The sequence below is a fragment of the Homo sapiens genome, chromosome 7 (genome assembly GCF_000001405.40).
Source record: "Homo sapiens chromosome 7, GRCh38.p14 Primary Assembly".
Taxonomy (NCBI): domain Eukaryota; kingdom Metazoa; phylum Chordata; class Mammalia; order Primates; family Hominidae; genus Homo; species Homo sapiens.
In genome coordinates, this window is record NC_000007.14 from 111,307,623 (window position 1) to 111,330,509 (window position 22,887).

At 34.1% G+C, this 22,887-nt stretch overlaps 1 protein-coding gene across 26 annotated transcripts in view; it reads right to left on the minus strand.

Annotated features, from left to right (window-relative positions):
- Positions 1-22,887, minus strand: part of IMMP2L (inner mitochondrial membrane peptidase subunit 2) — an 899,849-nt gene that overhangs the window by 644,979 nt on the left and 231,983 nt on the right. Inside the window, exon 5 of one of the 26 annotated variants that reach the window (XR_007060162.1) lies at positions 21,772-21,829. The exons of the other annotated variants lie outside the window; for them this stretch is intronic. The gene's annotated coding sequence lies outside the window, so the exon portion shown is untranslated. The remainder of the gene's footprint in view (positions 1-21,771; positions 21,830-22,887) is intronic. 26 annotated transcript variants of the gene reach the window in all.

Here is a 22,887-nt window from a genome sequence, read left to right on the forward strand (position 1 = left end):
ATTTATTAAATCGAGAAAATATTTTCAAGTTACTATGTTCCCCATAAGTTTTACCATATTCATAATTTACAGTTTGTTTTTATTCCTTGAGAGAATTTTTTTTCTTACTTGGAACTATTTCCTATTTGTTCCAATTGTGTTTCCAACTTCCTTAGAAATGGCCATAGCAATACAATTTTTATTGATATACTAGCTCATGGGGCATTGTTTCTTGTTGTTAGGTGTAAATCCAGTAATAATAAAAATAAGTTCCATAAATACAAAACAGTAAAATTCAACCAAAATCAGGCCTGATATTAAGGGGATTTGAATACATATACAGAATATAATTGAACACTTTAAGCAATTCTACAAATTTTAAGAAATAGAGATATAGATTGAGATTTTCACAAACTAAAACAATTATAGTGATATAGTTCAACTCAGTCTCTTAACTTACAACTATGCTTGTGCGTATCTGTCCAAATTCAATTGTATTTCTGGCCTATAAGATTATTTGCTTCAATCAACCAACATAGAGAAAAAAATCCCAGGCTAAAAAGTAAATATAATGTCTACACTGGCAGTACCCTATCTCACAGATATATTGTGACAAAATCTTACTATTAATATCTGTAAATATTATACACCTTTCATGAAAATATGAAAGCTAAATAAATATATAAGGGTAAACAAATAAAATCTAAAGGTAAAGTTTTATTTGGTGCATTTGAGAAAAATACAAAAGAAAAGGAAACTTTGGGTCTTATTGGTGATGTAGGAATCTGGAGATTGAAGACGTAGGCAGTGGGGATAGTGCAGGAGTGAAAAAACAAGCAGTTACAAAAAATTATTTAAACTTGCCATCTTAATGTAATATGCTTTGAGTCGGCCTTTATTTCTATGTATGGAGAACAAAAAGTTTCTAGGCAGAAAAATATTATAAAATTGATAGTACAGACAGTGAACTACTACAATTTAAAAACATCTGACTCTTTCTGGCCAATCTTACTTTAATGGTATCATCATACAAAAGAAAGAAAATTACATGGAACAAATGAGAAAAAAAAGTACCTTTGTCATAAACTTTCAAATATAACATTATAATAAAAAATTCTCAGGAGAAATTTTGGGGGAAAAAAAGATGTATTCTTCAATAATAATTTAACTTGGCCTAAATTCATGAGAATATCCTCCAGTTTTGCAAACTGCCTTCAATTTGCTGAGAACCATTCTTTTATGCCAGCTTAAAATAAGCAAAGATTACACAAGTACCATGTGCCACCTTAAATAAGGAAAGGGAAAAAAGTACAATATGGTATTTAAACAGCTGTGTGAAGATACTGGTTAAAACAAGAATCATTTTTCAGCTGAGCTTGTAATGCTTCATTTTGCTAAATTTAAACTAGTGCATCATTAACTTAACCACTGATTTGTAGAATAAAGTACAGAACCGCACCTGCATATAATCCAATAAACACAATAATTTTTCAAATGGTTGTGAAATTGTCATAATTTGGGATCAAGATTTGAGAGAAGGAAGAAAAAATAAGAAGACATTATTTCACAGATGTACTGGAGAAAATACAATTGTTTTCATTATTTGCAGTTTTATTTGAGTGAGCTGACAAATGTACAACAAACAGTACACGTGGAAACACACTAGTAAGAATTCTATGCCAGGCAATTAGTGAAGATGATTGCAAGAAATCAATTTTTTGGAAATAAACAAAAATTTTAAATGTTATATGGCCAGTTTGGATGAGTATTATAAGTAAATGAGCTCAAACCAGTTAACGAAATGGAAGAAAACAGAGTGTGTGCTCAAAATAATTTTGCTCCCAAAGGTCCATAAGGAACCATTTAGTATATCAGAAGTATTCATTTACTATGTGGTATCTCCCTGGTCAAAGAATTGATACTTTTTCACATAGATTCACTCAGTCTTGTCTTTCCACTATGTTAGAGGTTTTAAACCCCACCGAAAAGTTCAATAGATACAATATAGGGAATATGATTCATGTATTTGGATGAAAAAAAGATCATATGCTTATTTTCACTAACAATTAGCTAAAAGTTTAAATTTCCCTTTATTAAGAATGCAGACAACAAATCACAGTAGTATTTGTTGTACTTGTGACCGACAGAAATAATATATATTTTGAAATATTGTTACACTCATCACTAACTCCAAAATTATAGTACCTGTTAGAAGTAATGCCGCATCCCATTACTATTACTATTCATGTATTACTATTTTAGAGATTTTAAAATATTTTGATGGCACTATTTCAATTTAGTTTATTTCCTTTACAATCCTATGCATTTATTTTGTGCATTAATAACATTCTGGCCGGGCACGGTGGCTCACACCTGTAATCCCAGCACTTTGGGAGGCCAAGGCGGGTGGATCACCTGAGGTTAGGAGTTCAAGACCATCCTGGCCAACATGGGGAAATCCCAACTCTACTAAAAATACAAAAACTAGCTGGGCATGGTGGTGTGTGCCTGTAATCCCAGCTACTCGCGGGGCTGAGGCAGGAGAATCGCTTGAACCCGGGAGGTGGAGGTTGCAGTGAGTCGAGATCACCACTGCACTCAAGCCTGGGCAACAGAGCGAGACTCCATCTCAAAAAAAAAAAAAATCTAAGACTTTTGAGTTCACATGCTTAATTTTTTTTTTTTTAATTCTGAGACTGGATCCACGAACTTCGCCAGATTGGAAAAGGGGTCCATGGCACAAAAAGTATTAAGAACCTCTCATTTTCAATTTGGCACATAAGATAAGGGAAACGTAGGGAGACAAGAAACTCTATAGCTTAAAATTAACTTTTATGTTAAAGTTTTGTTTCTGTTGGTCTTTATTTTTAATTCTGGAAGAGCAATCATCCTAAATTAAGCCAATCAAATACATATTGCTTTAAGCACTAATTAACACCTTCTTCTTCTACCTTTTATTAGTTCTAAGAAATGTTCTTTGGTTTAAAATTTTCCACTAATAATGGAAAAAGTATGAAATTTCTTATCCTTATTTAACCATTTTAAAATTAACTCCAATATGTACTACATTATGACAGAGCAGATTTTACATCGCCCTGACAGTAAAGTATACTGCATTCTTGGTCAGATGAATGTAATGAGCTTCTTGTAATCCTGGCTAATTGATATAGGAATGGGGGAAGGATTTGCAAGATCAATAGCCGTATACCAAGTGCCAGAGACAAGAATGACTGGCTCTAGTAAAAAAGAACACATCTAGAAGAGTATCTCCAATCAGAATTGCAACCTGATTAAATTTAAAACAGAGCATTATGGTTTCTAACGCCTATTCTCCTTTGCGCAAGGCAAGTAGGTGAGTAAAATGAGTATGTGCTAAAAATCTCTTTTAAAATTTTTAAGTATTTAATAGCAGCGGTAATCTCTGACATTTCTCTAGTGAATTTACTGCTTTTGATTTGCTCTCCTGGATGGGAGAACAGTTCCAGGGCTTTCCACTTGTCCCCTTCTACCACAATATCCTTCATTCCATGGTTCAGAAAGCCAATATGGACATTCTGCAAGCTACAGAGGATATCTAGTCAAGGTAAGCATTGAAGAACTGGACAATGATCACAAGGTAGATAAACAAACTCCCTGGAACTACAGTAAGAGTAATTCAAGTTACAAAGAAAGAAAAAGGAAAAGAACATGAGAGAAGGGAAAGAAAGAAGGAAGGAAAGAAGGAAGGAAGAAAGGCAGGCAGGCAGGGAGGGAGGGATCATTTGGTCCCCATAAGGTCACACTTTGACAAGAACAATGGTCAAGCATTTTGGGTCTCCCCTCCCTGCCAAGGATTAGTGTCAAGTAAGAGCCATGTATGGTAATCCCTGAAATAACTAAGAATTTCCCTTTCCACAATGTACAATCATCCTGGTAAATGACTGAGATCACACTGGGGACAACTTGAAGAAAGATTTTTGGTATGTATTTGTAGCAATACTCATGCTTTATCTTCAGAGGGATACAGTTGCCCTCATTTCATTTAAGGGCTGTGGCTCTGTGAACTGGCTCCGGTCTAGAAACTGAGTGAGAGGCCATGATGTTGTATCAGGGTGAGGAAATGAGTTTTCTGCTCACGACATCAATTATGTTTCTGTACCCTAGAGTCTGTATTTTAGTGATATTTCAGCCACCATCAAAAATTAAAAGTTTGGTGTCACAATAGTCTGATTGTCACTCTGGCTCTTCCACCCATTATCGCAATTGTACTCACTTTGCTTCCAGTGATTACACTGGGACACTCAGCCTCTGCCACTCCAGAATTCCATCATTCCATTAAAATGAGAGAGTCTATTTTGAAAGTAGCACCTAATATCACATCCAAGGCAATCAGAATACAGCCTTCCCAGATTTCTTCAAGGACACTGATGTTCCCTTCACCAATGCATTTCTCAATATTTCCATGAGGAAAGCATTTGTGGGTCACACATGATAAACCCACTGCAACATTCCTATCTCCCTAAGGCTTTGGGATATTTTCATGCAAGACTGAAGTCACTATGGCCATTACAGACTCTTCAAGAAGAGGGAATTTAATCTCCTTAGAGAAAGAAGAAGAGGTTGGTTCCACAATAAAGCACTGGGGAAACTGCAGATGAAGCATAGAGGAAACTGGAGTTCAAGGCTCTGAGATTTAGGTGAGTTCACTCACATAAATATATTCATTTCAATTATCATGATCCATGTCTACCATTCATGTCTTATCTTCCATATAAGAAAGCTAGTGAGGCTGTGAATTCAACTTGTACTGTGATTCTATAATTCTCAGAACTGAAGTTTGGTTCTTATTTTCAGCTGCATCATTACTGCAATGATAAAAGACAAGACAATTTGTGTTGGCAGTGGGAGTGGGGAGGGGATCATAGATCTCTGTTTACGTGACTATCCTTGAACTGAGAGAAGTCCTGAACCCATAATTTCCTTTCTATAAACCTTCTAGTGTAGTCAAAAACAGCCAACAGGAGTCATTATTCAATCCATAACAGTCAATTACAACTTCCATTTGATTTCCCAAAACTTTGACTTTAGTAAACACTTCATTTCTGATAAGAAAGGTGATACATTAAGTAACTGAGCTGACCCTGCATGGAACGGCAATTTTCCACTGGCAATGATATACTATTGTGTTCAATTGCAGTATGGTCAGATAACCAATCTCAAATTCTCATCTTTGAAATTCTGTCTCCTAAAACCACTCCTGGTTATTGTTCACTAAAGAAAGCAGAAACTACTATAGACATTTCCAGAATAGGAAATTTAATACCAGAAACTGATTATACAGTTGTTGAAGGGGTTAGAAAAAAAAGGAAGAAATAAATACTTGAAGGCACAAAACAAAAACAGGGTTTCAAACCAAAGTGAGGGTGCTACCCCACTAGGCTGGAGCCCACAAGCCTGCAGTAATTGCTGAGCTCCTGGAAAAACTTCTACAGGTGCCACTGGGAATGCTCTGTTATTGCTCAACAGAGCCTATACTGTCCAGCAGCAGGAGTACTGCTACTGCTATTCAAGATGCCAACACTAATGCTTCTGGAACTCACAGCCACCAGAGGTCACCTTCAGTATCCTCTTCTGCATGCTGAAGTACACCATCCAATAAAAGGAAATAAATAGCTGCTTCTTCTCTCCTACCTTACAATCTTTCAAGATTGCCTTGCTTTGGCTGTACCTAATAGAAAACTTGCTAGCAATGGAATCTGGCATGTGTGGTTCACAGGTTTTATATCTTTGCAGTAGAGTGTGGAAGGGCAGATATATAGATAAGAGATAACAGCACTAACTGTCACAAAACCAAACAATAATGGAAAAACAGAATGTGATGCATTTTATCTTCTAACCATTTATAAAATAAATTAAATATATGTTTTATGGTATAATAATAACTGTAAAGAAAACCAAATACTACACAAGCACTCAAAATGCCATTCTCAATCTAATCTTAACTTTCTTAATAATCAACAAATACTTACTGTGTCTATGTTCCTGACATTGTGACAAATCCCAGAGTTACAGATGTAAAATCAACTATAGGAGTTTTTACTCTCGTCAGGAAATAGAATCAGAGGAAACAGACAAAATACAGTAAATAATAACTAGACTATGTGTATCAGGTATACAGGAGAGCCAACTACAACAGCCAAGAAGGGTCATAGATGGTGTATAATTTGGATATTTGTCCAATCCAAATTTCATGTTGAACTGCAATCCCCAGCACTGGAGGTGGGGCCTGGTGGGAGGTGTTTGGATCCCAGGGGTGTATGTTTAATGGCTTGGTGCTGTCTTTGTGATAGTGAGTTCTCGCAAGATCTAGTCATTTGAAAGAGTGTGGCACTTTCTGCCCTCCACTCTCTGTCTAGCTCCTGCTTTTGCTGTGTGAAGTGCCTGTTCCCGCTTTGCCTTCCACCATGAGTAAAAGCTCCCTGAGGCCTCCCTAGAAGCAGATGCTGCTATGCTTCCTGTACATCCTGAAGAACTGAGCCAATTAAACCTCTCATCTTATAAATTGCCCAGTTTCAGGTATTTCTCTATAGCAATGTGAGAATAGCCTAATACAGGCGGCTTCAGGGAAGTGACTTGGGGAAAAACTAGGGCTTCTAAAGAATACAAGAAAAAATAATATTTCAGATCAGAAAAACAGCATGTATGGAGGCATACAGACCTGACAAAGCATAAGATGTCCTGGAAAGTAGAATTGTATATAATTTGAAATATAGCAAATGAGGAGATAATCAGGAATATGCCGAAGAAAAGGTTAGACAGGCAAAAGGTGAGCAAAGTATGATTCTATTAATATATTGCTCATACAATTGATTGAATGATGTTGCATTTGAAATTTTTTAATTTAAATTTTAGAAAGATAATTGCCAGAGGAATGGAGGATTGACTAGAGTGAATAAGATGAGGAAAATAAGATCATTTAGAAAGCTGTTCTAGTATAGGATAATAAAACTGAAGTAATGCAATAACTACTGAAGTAATACAATAAACTGAAGTAATTCCCACTTGTCTAGGAAAAAGCTAGTTCTCCTCCTCCTTCTCTATGCAAGTTCCCCAGCTTCTAATCAATCTATCAGTTAAGCCCACTTTAATAACTATTAATATGTTTTCAATGTCCATTTTAATAACTGTGTTTTCTACAAGATTAAAGAAATAAAATTATCCTATAGATTTTTCTAAACAAATAGTGGAGACCTATGGAATATAATTGCAAGGGTAGTAAAAATGTAACTTAAATTAAGCTGTGAAATATATTCTATTTTTTGTCTGCTATTTTGTCATGACTGTTTGACAGAAAATCTACCCTTTTAATATGCCAAATTCACACATATTAATTAGGAGAACTAGAAGTTAACCAAAGTAAATCGGGAGGAAAATATTTTAAAAGTATACGTGCATATCTCACCCAAAGAAAAATTCCGATTTAATTCTCACTTCTTTTAAGGTGGCCCTCCCCCAGAATATCGTTGACTTTTTAAAACATATCATAAGGCAAACATTTGTGACGCTATCACAGTCCATCTTATACAACCAACCAGGAAAAATATCCTCTTTAATCAAAATCAGTAATTTTGCGTTAAGCTTCTTTTATTGATATGAAAAATTTGGGCAGTCCTGCAGAGAGAAGTCCAAATAACACAGGAAACTAGCCCTGACAGGTGGTAAGACAATAGGAAGAAACTAGTATTTCCTCAGGATCTTGCTTATACATATGGTACTTATGATACTTTACTAAAAAGTATTTATCTGAATCCTTCAGTAGCCTATGAGTCCCTTAATGGCAGGAAATGACTGAAAAAAAAAACAAATAAATAAAGTGAAGACAGAAACGACATGGATTTCTAAAAATATTTCTGATGCTTCTGCATTTCTTAAAAATTTACGTGGATATTTTCCAGGATGGACAATTATCTGTGCACACAATGCAATTTGCTCTTCCAAATCCTTTCTACCACAGCTTCAGACTTAAGCTCTATTTAATGTAAACCAATCATAGTAATACCTTCCTCACCGCCACGTAGTCTTTCAGTAATGAATGAGACTACGTCCATTTAAGCAAACAACACACAAGGAAACATTTCCTAGTGGCTTCTTAAAAAAAAAAAAAAGGCTTCATTTTTCAACTAATAAAAAGGTGAGTATTACAGATAATAACTACATAGGAATGTAAAAAAAAACTTACTCTGGCTATGGAAGTCTGAAAAGACTTCATGTAAGAGATAAGGCTTAAACCACACCTGAACAACAGGAAAGTACAGTTATGCATCACTTAATGATGGAAACACATTCTGAGAAAAGCATATAGGCAATTTCATAATTGTGCGAACATCACAGGGTATACTTACACAAACATAGATGGTATGGCCGACTACCCCTAGCTTATGGCTCCTAGACTACAATCCTGTACAGCATGTAACTGCACTGAATTCCATAGGCAATTGTAGCACAATGATATTTGTGTATCTAAACATAAAAAAGGTACAGTAAAAACATGGTATTATCCTCTTATGGGAAGACCATCAAAAACACAGTCTATCACTGACATTATGCAGTGGCACATGGCTGTATCTGAGAGTAGACAGGAATTACAACTGGGTGGATGGTATAAAGAAAGGCATAAGAAGCATAAAGAGTGGAGGATGTTAGATGTATTCAAAGCACAAGCCAGCCACCCCAAGTAAAAGACTCATAGACAAAGAAAGAACATGCAGGAAACAAAAGTCGAAAAAAGGGCCTGAAAACCAGAATATATTTCATTATGTTAAGAGCCAACAAAGTAAAATTCTTAGTTATGATCTAAATGTATGATTTAGGGATGAATACATAGTTAGGGAGAAAAGAAAAATTATTTAGCCATGAATAAATTAATCCAGGTTCTTATTCATCAAGATTCCATTTTGAAGAGGGCTGCCGCTTAGGAACACTCAAGCTACGAGGGCCATAAATTTAACACACACATTTCTTTATGAAGGAGTAGAGAGAATAAACAAATTTTTTAAAAAGTAAAGGGAGAAAAGGGAAAATAAAGTAATATGCAAGGACATCCGATAGTCAAAATGTATTATCTCATAAATTTATATGCTTCAGTAAAAAAATTATCATATTTACAATCAAAAAAGGCCATTTGTAAAGAATCTCACATATATTATCTCTGTCAAATCTCACAACAACCCAATGAGAGAGATATTGTTGGCTCCTTTTTTTTTTCTTTTTTTTTTTTTTTTTTTTTTTGAGATGGAGTCTCGCTATGTCGCCAGACTGGAGTGCAGTGGCGAGATCTCGGCTCACTGCAAGCTCCGCCTCCCGAGTTCAAGTGATTCTCCTGCCTCAGTCTCTCAAGTAGCTGGGATTACAGGCACGTGCAACCACGCCCAACTAATTTTTGTATTTTTAGTAGAGACGGGGTTTCACCATGTTGGCCAGAATGGTCTCGATCTCCTGACCTCGTGATCCGCCCGCCTCAGCCTCCCAAAGTGCTGGGATTGCAGGCATGATTTTTGGCTCGTTTGTACAGACATGAAAGTGTCTCAACGTGGTTAAGTGAGTTTGGAAGAGCCAGATTATTATCCAGGCCTCTGACTTTACATCCTGTACCCACTCAGGCCTACCTCATTTCATTCAAGAGATAAGTACAACACAAAGTTCAACAACATCTGAAGCCATTCTGAACTAGAAATAAATGAAGATTCTAATTGTCAGTATATCATTATTCAGACATAATGTAGAAACAAAGGATTTTGCCAAGCTTAATATGGTTTGGCTGAATGCAAGATTTATATATTAAGATCCAACATTATATGGGCAAAGAAATACTACCTGACTCTCTGGAAATTGAGGTTTATCAATCAGACTCCCTAGATATTCAGTATTTTGAAGATATAATAATACTGAATCAGAGACAGAAAAAAACTAGTAATAAAATACTCAAAGGTCTAAAAATTAAAGGCAAATTTTCTTAGCAAAGAGTACATGGCATTCTATTTAAAAATCAACAATTTGTCTTCATTCCCCAGATCATAAACCCAAGGAGACCATTATAAGGCTGCTACAAACAATCTGTCAGTTTGATTTCACTTGGTTAGTGAGGGTGTTGATTTTGTTGTTGAACTGCTTAAGAAAAATTTAAGATGCTTAAAGAAAGTTCTTTAAACATATTAATAATAAGCTTTTCAAAGTCTGTGAATTTAATATTTCATTATTTCCTTGAACCTGTTAGAGTTAAGTGAAACTTTGAAAATTCCAGGAAAGGTTCAATAAAATTTGTTATAGATTCTACATGGTCTCATTTTCCTTTACTTAAGAAAAAATACCAAATAGGCTGTTATATTTTGAAATCTACATTTTTTCAATCTGCCCTTTAATGAGCACCAATTATGGTAAATAAATATTAACAGAATATAACCACTTACTTATAATGCAATCCTTATAATGTTATATTTATCCAAGCCATGAAGGATTAGGGAAGTAAAAACTACACTAGCTTATGATTTAGCAGTTTTATTTTCCAATATAGGTCAGAATCTAAAAAGTTAAAGAGTGAAGGAGGGCCACGGGGCCTTTAAGGAGCCCAAATATCAGTGTAAATGAAAGGGTGATTGATTCTCTCCTCAAAGCAGATGGCGTCCTTTCCCCAGATGCCTGGTTAATACAGATGTGGAAGCCAATGGAGAACTCAGGTTCCTTACAAAGAACAGAAAAGGGGTTGAGCACACAAACAATTCAAGAGTTCAAGGGCTGGTGGTGAAATCTGGTAGTAACAGATTGCAGACACATACAGATGTCTAAAGGAAACAGCAAAAGGAAGATCTGGGAAGCAACTCCCCAGGAAAAGATTTTACCATAGAAATCATCATCATCATTAAGAAGCCTCAGATCAGATGTAACCTATAGCAGATCTGAACATGACTAAACCCTAGACAAAAGTAATTAATTCCAAAACAGTGGTATGGATCAATTCAAATGAGAAATTGATTTTCTAGTTCTGAGGTGCAATGGCAAACTTGTAAGTCAAATGATATCCTAGAAGACAGCACTTTTTAAAGACAATACCTTACCAAGCCACTTGAAGACGGAATAACTATACCATAATGAAGAAAAATTTCTATTACTTAATAGATTCTTTTAAAAATATTTTAGATACTAAATTAGGACTATTACATAATTGGTATTATCTATATTTCAACTATGGAAGTAACAGTTCTTCATTTCAATTAACAAGCTAATATACTGTCTATTCATCATGATTCGACCATTAGCCAGACTTTGCTGAATAATTCTAAGATTAGCCTGCCATTTAGCCACAAGTTAGCCAACTATATAGATAAGTGAACTATTTTGCTATCATTACCTTAAATGTTGTCCACACATCACAATGACCAATAAGAAAACATCCCTGTCCTACCATCCTGGTAATCAGAAAATCACCATGTGGCTTAATGTAAGGCTAAGTAAGCGTTACCAAATATGTCTGTAGGAGGGCAAGTCTGAGGGCACGATTACACTTTCAAGACTTTGTGAGGAATCATTTGTAATCTTGTCACACTCAAAAAAAGTGCTGAGAGCATTCTTTTTTCACCCTCACATCATCCAGAGAACTGTTCAGCAATATAAAGCTGTGACCTTGATGTTCTATATAGCTTAAAGACCATAGTTAAAGTCCTCATAAGCACTAAAAGTCATCTCTGCACAGGAAGTAGAATATCCTTCTACACTAATGTGCTACATATTATAGATTTCTCCAATATGTTCCAAATATAATATAATGTTATTTCCAAAACCGTAAAAAAAATTCATAGTTTAGCAGATCTAAGTAGAACTCCTTTTGGCTGGTGAGATGGTGGGAAGAGATTAGGGTAGAAAGTGGAAGAAGCAGAGTCATAAGAGAATAGTAATCAGTGAACTACCAAAATTTTCATCATTCAAAATTTTTACAAATCAAAATTTTAGCTTTAAATCAATTTTATATGTTTGGTTTCAAAGATCAGCCCTCAATAACAACCCTATAATCTGTTTTAATACAGAAGGCTATATTCTATAGCGATAAGTTCTATTTTAGAAAAGAAGCAATTTAAACCTAAGTTTTTTTAGAATGTTAGCATAACATATAGTATGAAACAGGAAACAAACAGATTAAAGGAAGACCAGAACATTGGCTGAAAATACACCTTCAGGGCCCATTTCCAGGTAATGCCCAAGGCCTCCTAGGGGATAACTAATAGTTAATATTTCGGCTGCCACATTCCATGGGAGGTCGTAACAATGACTTTATATAAAAATTATTTCTATTTTTCTCTTTTATTTTTAACTTAGTACTATTAACTGGAGCTCTTTCTTCCCTTGTTAACTATTCATTACTGTATATTTCTGTGCATTAAAACCACTTTAAAAAAAATCTTCATCCCCACATCAGCCTCCATCGTGGGAAGATATATATACACAGAAAGAGAGGAAAAGTCATTGATCCCCAGCCATAAGTCAAGTGAGGCTTCAACAATAGATCATACCCAGGCTGCACACTGTTAGGTCACAGAACATGTGGTCACACTGTCCTACCAAGACAGAAGCTAATTCTATGAAATCCCAAACTACACCTTCTTGTGTTTCTCCATTCACCTCAGTCAATGGCTTCACCACCATCCATCCACCTTCTTACTCAAATCAGAAGCTGAGGAGCCACTCTGCCTCTTCCCATTCTTACAGTCCAAATTCTTGTTCACTCATGCAACTATTCATTTCTCTCTCACTTCCTCAGCATTTGCTTCAGCCCATATAATTTCTGACCTAGGTGATTTTATCAGTTTCCTAACTGGTTTCCCTTTCTCTGGCCTACAACCCATAAATTCTAAAACACAATCTGAATAATCTTTCTAAAACATTTTAGGAACAACCCACTACCCTCAGATCAAGTCCAAACTCTTTAACACTGTTTACAAGGCCCTTGATAATCTGACTGGTTGCTGCTCACACTGAACTCTTACCACTCCCACTGTGGTACCCAACAATGCCAAACAATTTGAAATTACTCAGTTACTCATATTCTCTCAGTACTAGGCACCACCATTCCTCATCCAGAACACTAAAGCAATTGAGTTTGATTCAGGTGTAATCCTCAAGAAAACATTGTTAGACTTCTCCAGTTTCTCCAGGTGACACATCTGTGTGCTCTGAAAGCACCCTATGCTTATAGTTATCATACCATACAGTACTGTTTACTTTGTTCTTCCTCCCCCAATCACTGATTATTAGATCCTTAAAGTACAAGCAACTTATTCATATTTGTATCATAATGACTAGAATAGTACTTGGAACAAAGGAGACACTCACTAAATGTTTGCTGAATTAATGAATAAAGATATAAATGAAAGGCGGTATGTGTTCCATGTTTTCTTCAAGAAAATATGGCCACCAAAATGTGTATGAACTAAGTATTCTCCAATCTGCCCAATGGAAAAATAAATAAATAACAGCTAAGAGTTTGTCATAAATTTCAGGGCAATCCTAATGAATCTAGGAAAGTCAATTGATCAAGAGGCTACATCATGGCCTTTTGATTTGACTTACCCTTATTTGCTCCTACGATAATACCAAAAAAGCATCTGTCCATACAGTGAGAATGTAAGTCAACACACAATTGGCTCAGGGTAAGCAGATTACAACTCTATTAAAATAAAAGAATTATAATCAAAATCCTGCTTCCGTATATGATTTAATCATTGCACACTGATTAAATAAATGACAATAATTATAAAGAAAAATCTCCATCCATTTTGAGTGCTCCTGAGAAGCTAGAGACTACTCAGATCTCTGATTTGAGGTAATATTCTCAATGTCTCAAATTAAATGCAAATATTCTCATGGAAAAAAAACTACAACAATCTTTTTTTTTCTCTAAATTATTAATATTTATCTTTGAGGTTGAGATTCTCAGGTTTTTGTAGTACATCATGGGAGTGATATAAAAGGAGTCCTTAACTGCAAATCAAAATTTTAGCCTTAAATCCAAAGCTTGCTTTACTATATAGCTATGCTCTAAATCACCAAATTCAGAAATCCTTTAAAATAGACACTTGAATGTGGTTTCAATGTAAGCACTCTCTTAGCAGACTCACTCTTCAAAGTCCAAAATGAAAGAAAAATTATATGCTCAGCAGTTTATTTAATTAAAAGGAATGGAACTACAGAGTGATAAGTATAGAAAAGTTCAGCATGTCTTTTCAAAGGACTGTAAAAAAAACTTCCAACACTTTACTTATATTCTTGCCCTTGTGACTAAGTTATGGACAATGAAACACCTTGAGTTATGATACAAATCCTTAAACCTAAAATGCCATATGTTAAAACTCAAATTATGTTAAAGCCCATAACTATTTTAAAACCCTGTGTATAATGTGATCTACTGCATTCACAGTACTTAAAGTACTTTCATTTTTGAACTTTTATAATTTCTGCAAGAGAAAACAATGCCAAGAGACATCCCTACAGTAATTAATGTAAGATAACAGCTTTGAATTTACAGTTATTGGTAATTTAATTAGTCTTGAACATAGCCACTATAAGACTTGATAACTACTAAACAATTATTAATGAATAAAAGGCTGGCCCCCAGATTCTTTTATGCCAGACCCATGGAAATAGTATGTGCCAGATAAATAGATTCTCAATAAATATTTATTGAGGTCGAATTGACCCCATGACTGGTTAGATGCAGAATTTTAGTTCACATCATATAGACATTCTGAAACTGAATTTAACACAAGCATAATATCAGCATAATATTATACTGAATTGTACAGACAGAACCATGAGTCACTTTCTGCTCCAAATCAATGAAATGTTGAAGTAGAAGGAACAGCATAAGAATTCTCCATTATGTAGCTAAGTTTGAAACAATGGTAGAGAAATCTCCAGGTCCCAAAAAATGAAAAAGAAATTCGATATCTGGGTGGTAGAAGGAACTGAATTTTAAAAAAAATTAGAAATATACTAATATTAGTAATATTAATACTAATATACAAATACATTTAATAGTGGTGTTCTCAGATCACGACGCAAAATCTCCCCAAGAAACCTACTAATAATGAATAATAATTTACATGAGAAAAAGACCTTTTCACCTGCAAATTAAAAAGCAGGTTAACATTTATGGGTCATGGTAAAAGCACTTCTCCAAAGAAAATCCATAGCATTAAATACTTACATATTTTTTAAAGAAATAAAATGAGGAATGCATCTATATTTTATATCAAAGCCTACGTCTCCCAGCTTTGTTCATAGCATTAAATACTTACATAATTTTTTTTTTACAAAAGTAAATAAAATGGTGAATGCACCTTTGTTTTACACGGACGGCTGCATCTCCCACATTTGCAAACTCTTCACTGTAATAAACTCTCTTTCTTCAAAATGAAAAAAAGAAAGCAAATAAAATGACTTAAACATTTAATTTGAAAAGCTAGAAAAAGACTGACAACAGAAAACAAAAGCAGAAGGAAATTAATAAAAATAAAAATGAAGTCAGAAAAACAGCAAAATTAATAAACAGATCAAAAAGCTGGTTCTTTCAGGCAACCTACAGAACAGGAGAAAATTTCTGCAATCTACTCATCTGACAAAGGGCTAATATCCAGAATCTACAATGAACTCAAACAAATTTACAAGAAGAAAACAAAAAACCCCATCAAAAAGTGGGCAAAGGATATGAACAGACACTTCTCAAAAGAAGTCATTTATGCAGCCAAAAGGCACATGAAAAAATGCTCATCATCACCAGCCATCAGAGAAATGCAAATCAAAACCCCAATGAGATACCATCTCACACCAGTTAGAATGACAATCATTAAAAAGTCAGGAAACAAAAGCTGCTGGAGAAGATATGGAGAAATAGGAACACTTTTACACTGTTGGTAGGACTGTAAACTAGTTCAACCATTGTGGAAGTCAGTGTGGCGATTCCTCAGGGATCTAGAACTAGAAATACCATTTCACCCAGCCATCCCATTACTGGGTATATACCCAAAGGACTATAAAACATGCTTCTATAAAGACACATCCACGCATATGTTTATTGCGGCACTATTCACAACAGCAAAGATTTGGAACCAACTCAAATGTCCAACAATGATAGACTGGATAAAGAAAATGTGGCACATATACACCATGGAATACTATGCAGCCATAAAAAATGATGAGTTCATGTCCTTTGTAGGGACATGGATGAAGCTGGAAACCATCATTCTCAGCAAACTGTCACAAGGACAAAAAACCAAACACTGCATGTTCTCACTCACAGGTGGGAAATGAACAATGAGAACACAGGGACACAGGAAGGGGAACATCACACACCGGGACCTGTTGTGGGGTGGTGGGAGTGGGGAGGGATAGCATTAGGAGATACACCTAATGTTAAATGATGAGTTAATGGGTGCAGAACACCAACATGGCACATGTATACATATGTAATTAACCTGCACATTGTGCACATATACCCTAAAACTTAAAGTACAATAAAATAAAAAAAGCTGGTTCTTTGAAACACTCAACAAAATAGAAAAATTACTAGCCAACCTAATAAATAAAAAGGTGGGGGAGATTAGGGTGAAAGCCCAAAAACACAAAGTGAAAAATAACAAAGAAGAAATAGTCATCAAAAGAGATGAACTGAAAGAGAAAATGAAGCACAAAGAGGAAAAGAAATCTATTGTATATGCAAATAAATCTGAAACATAGGTAAAATAAAATTTCATTTGGCAAAACTGACCATAATAGAGAGAGAATGCATTAAGGAAATGCCTAAAAAGGGAAGTAAAACTAATTAGTCAACTACAGACCATAATTCATCAGAGGTTCCTTAAATTAAGTTGAGGCAAGTCACTCTTTTTCAAGTTGAGAAAAGATGCTATAAAACATGAAGGCATGTTTGAGAAAACCAGTAAATATTTTTAACAATAGTTCCTAGAGTCAAATAAAAAATTCATTCAAAATCATGTGTAATATAATGTTTAAGTGTAATATATTCAAATGAGAAATTCCAATACTATATTCCCTAACAAAGGGAAAAAAATAAATTATAGCTAAAAAATAAATATTCAATATCAACCAATATCAACAACAATCTGTTTATTGACAAAATGTATTTTTAGTTTTTAAAAAACAATAAAAGGTAAATAAACTAAAATTCAAAGTGCAAACAATAACACACCAAAGATTTTTTTTGAATACTGAAAATCTAGGGGAACAACTGCTCAACATTTGGTTGCTTCACAATCTGTTAATTTTTTTAATCAAATATGACTAAGATAAGTCTGCCACATCCATAAAAACATTAACTGAAATTAATATGCAAATTATGGTGCCTGTGTGGGATGCCATTTCATTAATTTCAATTCACTGACATAATTGTGTTCTCTGAATTTATGAGATTTGCAAATGCCATCTCATAGAGAATGCAATGTTCAGTGAATGTTATTTTACTAGCATAAAACCCAATAATAGGTTAATCCACAAAAAAGAAATATAAGATTTTAGTTACAAAATAATATATGTTTTCATAGCTGTATATTCTTTGAGCTAATTCTTAGAGCTTTTTAAAATAATGTTTAACTTTTAATATAACACTGATTAATGGTAGCAATCTTGGAAAGTTCAAAAAGGTATATAAAATGAGAACCTTTTAAAGATTAGCTATCTTTAAATTATAAATAATAACAGTATTTGGTATATTTTGCTTCAATCTTCTTGTATGCAGATAAGTACAAATGTGAAAGCGCGCAAAATAAATATAATGTTTTAATTCCATTTTTTCCACTTAATATAGCTATAGATATTTTACCATATTAGTAAATGAATTCCAAAATATAATTTTAAATGAATGTATATTAAGATCATCATGTGGACCTACCAAAATATTTTTAATCTTTCCATTATTTTTTGGAGTTTAGGTTTTTTTAGTGTTTTAATAGTATAAATCCTTCTGTAATCGAGCCCTTCATGTAATTATTTGTGTCTCTGATTATTTCCTTAACAAAAAAATCCTTGAAGTGAAATTCCTGAATCAAAGGATGTAAATTTTAATATATCATCTAAATACCTTTCAAAAATATTGAAACTTTACATTCCGACCACGAGTATATAACTTCTATTCCCTTGACCCCTTTTCCATACTACATTCTATCTTTTGGCATCATCAGTGTAGTAGATCAAAATGGCATCTCACAGTTGATTCATTTGCATTTCTTTATTAGAGAGGTTGAACCCCTCATGAAATTTTACTGTAGTAATAATGTTCTGGAATTTTAATTTAAATTATAATGTAGTTTTGCCTATAACTGAATTGTGAGCAACATTGCTATTTATAATTTATTACTGCTTGAAGTTGCATACTGTAAAACATGCTGTGTTTAAATTATGTACAGTATTTTTTTATGGTTAGATTTCATAAAATCTCCTAAACCAAACCTGAGTAAATTTCTGCTCTCTTTACTTGCTATTACTTTCAGGTCTATAAAGATATAAAGAAAATTACACTTAATCGAATTTTATATATTTTAGGTATTTTGAAGGCAATTAGTTCATCATAATACCTCAATTGAGATATAAATTATGCATTTATAAGACTGAGATTGCCAAATAAAAATTAAGATGCTTAGCAAATAATGAATTTGATTAAATTTTTAAAATTTTCTCAAAACTACAAAAAAGTTTTTGATCAATACCAAAGATTATAATTGAAATATCTTTCCATCTCAGATATTAAAGTTACAATAATTCCAAAATTATGGGCATGCATTCTCCCTCCATAAGTGAAAGCTGTACAATGCCTCAATTCTCAGTTGTCTCTTAAACAATTCCATTCAGAAATCTTCTTCAGCTGCTAACATATTCCTCATTAAGATTCCTACTTCTCATAAACATTTCTCCAAAGAAGACATAAAAATGGCCAATAGGAATATGCAAAGATGGTCAAGATCACTAATCATCAGAAATATGCAATGAAAACCGCAAGGATATATCAATTCACACCTGCTAGGATGGCTGTTACCAAACAAACAACAACAAAAGAAAAACAAGTACAGGGAACACTGGAAAAACTGGAACCCTTATGCACTGTTGGTGGGAAATGCAACAGCTCTGGAAGCAGTATGGAGGTTCCACCCAAATTATAAAAAGAACTACCATTTCTTGGAGCAATCCCATTTTCAGGTATTATCCAAAATAAATTTTGGTTTTTGGTATTTCAAAATAACTGAAATCAGGATCTCAAAGAAGTATTTGTATTCCCATGTTCACTGCAGCACTATTCACAATAGCCAAGATATGGAATCAACCTAAGTGTCCATCAATAGATGAAAGGATAAGGAAAACGTAGTACATTTACATACTCTAGAATATTATTCAGCTTCTAAAAAGAAGGGAATCCTGGCATATGGATGGGGAAAAAGGGGAATCCTGCCAGCATAGATAAACCTGGAAAACACTGTGCTACATGAAATAGGCCAGTCACAGAAGCGCAAATACTGCATACATTCTACTTATATGAAGTATCTAAAATAGTTTAATTCATAAAGGCAAAAAGGGAATGGTGGTGGTCAGGGGCTTGGGAGAGGGAAAAATGAGAAGTTGCTGTCCAACTGGTATAAAGTTTCAGTTAAGCAAGATAATAATTCTTAAAATTCATGTAAGAGAAAATATTATCAAAATAGAATGCCTCATTTAACCTGCTTTATGAGTGTTCACTCACATAGATCATTATATATAAAAAGTGTCACTGTAACTAAATAATTTCTACAATTTCATTAACATGTACTCAACTCCCTTTGCTGCATGTCTCTATCATAGCTGTTCCTGCGAGGTACTGTAACCCACCATTCATTCATCCATGTACTTCTTACACTTCAAAAGACTGAACTATTTCTTTTGTAGCACTTGGCATGAGCAAATACATAATATATTAATAAATAAAAATAAATATAGGAAAATTCAGCTCACAAATGTGCTATTTGTGCATGAAAAGGAAAAATATTTTTAACTATTTTCAGAAATAAGTTAGAGGCTAGAAAGTAATCTTATGGTATATTAATAATTTAAAAGTCATCATCAAATCCTGTGGTTTGGCCAAAATAAATGCAGAAGTAGAAAGAAAGAGAGCCATAAATTGCTTAAGGTCAGAAATGCAAGCTGAAAACATAGTGTACATAATACAAGAAATTCTTAATTCTCCAGATTTCTATGTGTCAAAAGGCTCCTGATTTCAGTGTGGAAATGAGGGTTTTAACTACATACCTGAATCACCTGTTTGGAAAATAGGTACGTATAGTAGATATATAATATATAAGAATACATATGAGAATAAAGTATTATAAAGCAGCATAACCACCCACATTTCACCATCTTTTCATCATTAAACTAAAAAATATTTTTACAAAACCACATGACCTCTCAGTCATAATAGAACTAATGAAACTACAAAGATCCAATCTTACTCAGAGAACTTGTACGATTTTTGAAAACAGCACCATTAAAACAGCTCTCTCAGAGTATTCTCCTATAAGCTCTTAAAAGTTATTTTGAAAACTGTCAATACAGCTGGGGTTCTTTTCCACCCAGTGGCAGGTTACAAAGGAATATTAAAGATGTTTCAAAAACTGATATAATTCAGGAAAAATAATTTAAACAATATGACTGCAATTATGACATATTACAATGAAATACATGGCAGCTAGAACTAAATAGGAGCCCACAGAATGATACTTAGAAATGCATTTACATGGTTACTGAGTTTTCCCCAGTAGAAAAGCAACTATCCCTTCTTGCTCCTTATTGGTACAAAAATTATTTCAGGGCCCACAAATTCTAAAAGCATTACAAAGTTTGAAGAATATAAAGTAAATGGCAATTATAAAAAGTAAGGGTTTATATTTTACAAGCCCCAATACAGCAAGGCTTAGAATTAGTTATAAAAACTAGAGGTGTGTTACGTCTTAGAGTAGGTAACAGCTGGATACTGTGTAGAATAAATGCTCATGCCCATGGGTGGGATGTTCATAATGCTGAAGGGCAAGAGAGAGAGATGTATAGCTTGAGAAGTGATGTGGATAATTGCTTGTCATTAAACAGCAGAGTAATTGCTGCAGCAAATTCCCATGTAACTATTCCACATGAAACTTCAACGTGCCCTTGGACTTACTAAACATACATAGTTTTCTCAGATAAAAAGACAGCAGTCAATGATGCACCACACTTAAAAAGATCATTATTTTATTATTTAGTCTCACAAAAAAACATTGGGACCCTAACCATTAATAACACAGAGAAAAAAAAAGCCATTGATTTTTACATTAGTAAGACCTTGGTAAGATCTCAGAATCTACTTTTTCCTAACCTGCTCAGACTAGGTGTCTCATAAAGCCTACAATAATTTAAAAGATCGTCACATCTTTTGAAAAGCTTTCATGTACAATCATGTTATTCAGTATTCAAATTCATAATAAGCCAAGATACGAAACATTTAAGTTGCTGCAGGATGTTGAGCGCTATTAAGAATGCATTAATAGAGAGGATTCTAGGCAGCTGAAGCTGTGGCAGAGGTATAAATTTGAAAGTACCAAAATATCCTGAAAAGAAACAGAAACAGGAAGAGGAAAAAAAAGAGAAGGAGAAGAATTAAAACTACACACCCTATCTCAACATAACTAGAAAACAAGGAAACTCCAAACTTCAAAGTACTTGTAAATATAAATATAAACATCAAGACCTACCTACCTCTCTCATGTGCTCCTGCCAGTAGCCTTCATGGAGACCAAGAGCAGTTCAGGAGAAACTACACAAACGAGAGCAGAGAGGAGTTAAGGGCAGGTTGAACCATGATTTAAAACCACTGCTAGAAACAGAAAGAAACTCAGCCCTTGGCCCTATATATACTGAAAAGTGAACAGTTAGCTCAGAACACTGATAACAGAAAGGAGACTTGAAAACGCACATGGGACATGACAAGCCACCTTGCAAAGGCGTCACTTTGGAGAGAAAAGACAGCTAAAACAACAGGAGAGGTTTCTTTGGAAACTATACATTAGAGAGAGAAAAAGGGGAGAACATTTCGAATTACATAAAACAAAAGAAAATTTAAAAATTGGAAGGCATATGCCATTTGAAAACCATGCCATCCAGTAAAGAAACAATACTTTGCTTACAATAACAGGAGAGGGTGCTCTTGAACTAGAAATGTTAAGCCATCCCAACATACAGATAAACAAAAACCTAGCATAAAAAGAAAATTGAAAATAAGGACCCAAACAATTAAGGTGATAAAAAATTCCACCCTCTCACACAAACAAATGGCAAGACACTGGCAAGAACAGTGGCAAAACAGAAGAAAACCATAACACTCAAAACTAATAAATATCCATAAATTCTGCAATTAGGTAGATTTAAAAAACAACCTTGAAATAAGAATTAAAAACTAAGTAGAGAAATGAATGACCAGAAAATTTTAAAAGGAAAAAATAAAACACCAATTGATTGAACACAGAAAGAAAAGAGAAGAAAAATACAAAATCACATCAGAAATGGAACGTAAATTACAAGATGCCCAAGGAAAAACAGATTTGAAAGAAAATGCAATAAGAGACACTGGAAAAATAGTAGAAAATCAACTAAATGAATAAAATGAAATAGAGAAAAAAGTAAAAAGGGTCAAAGAGAAAGTGGCTGAAATGGAAGACAGGAAAAAGAAGATACAATTTATATATAAATGGAATTTCTGAAGAAGACTTTTTAAAATAAAATATGACTAATAATGAAATTCTAACCAAGAAAGTATTCAAACACAAACAACCACAACTTATATACTGAAAGGGCCCACTAGCCACGGGGTGGGGG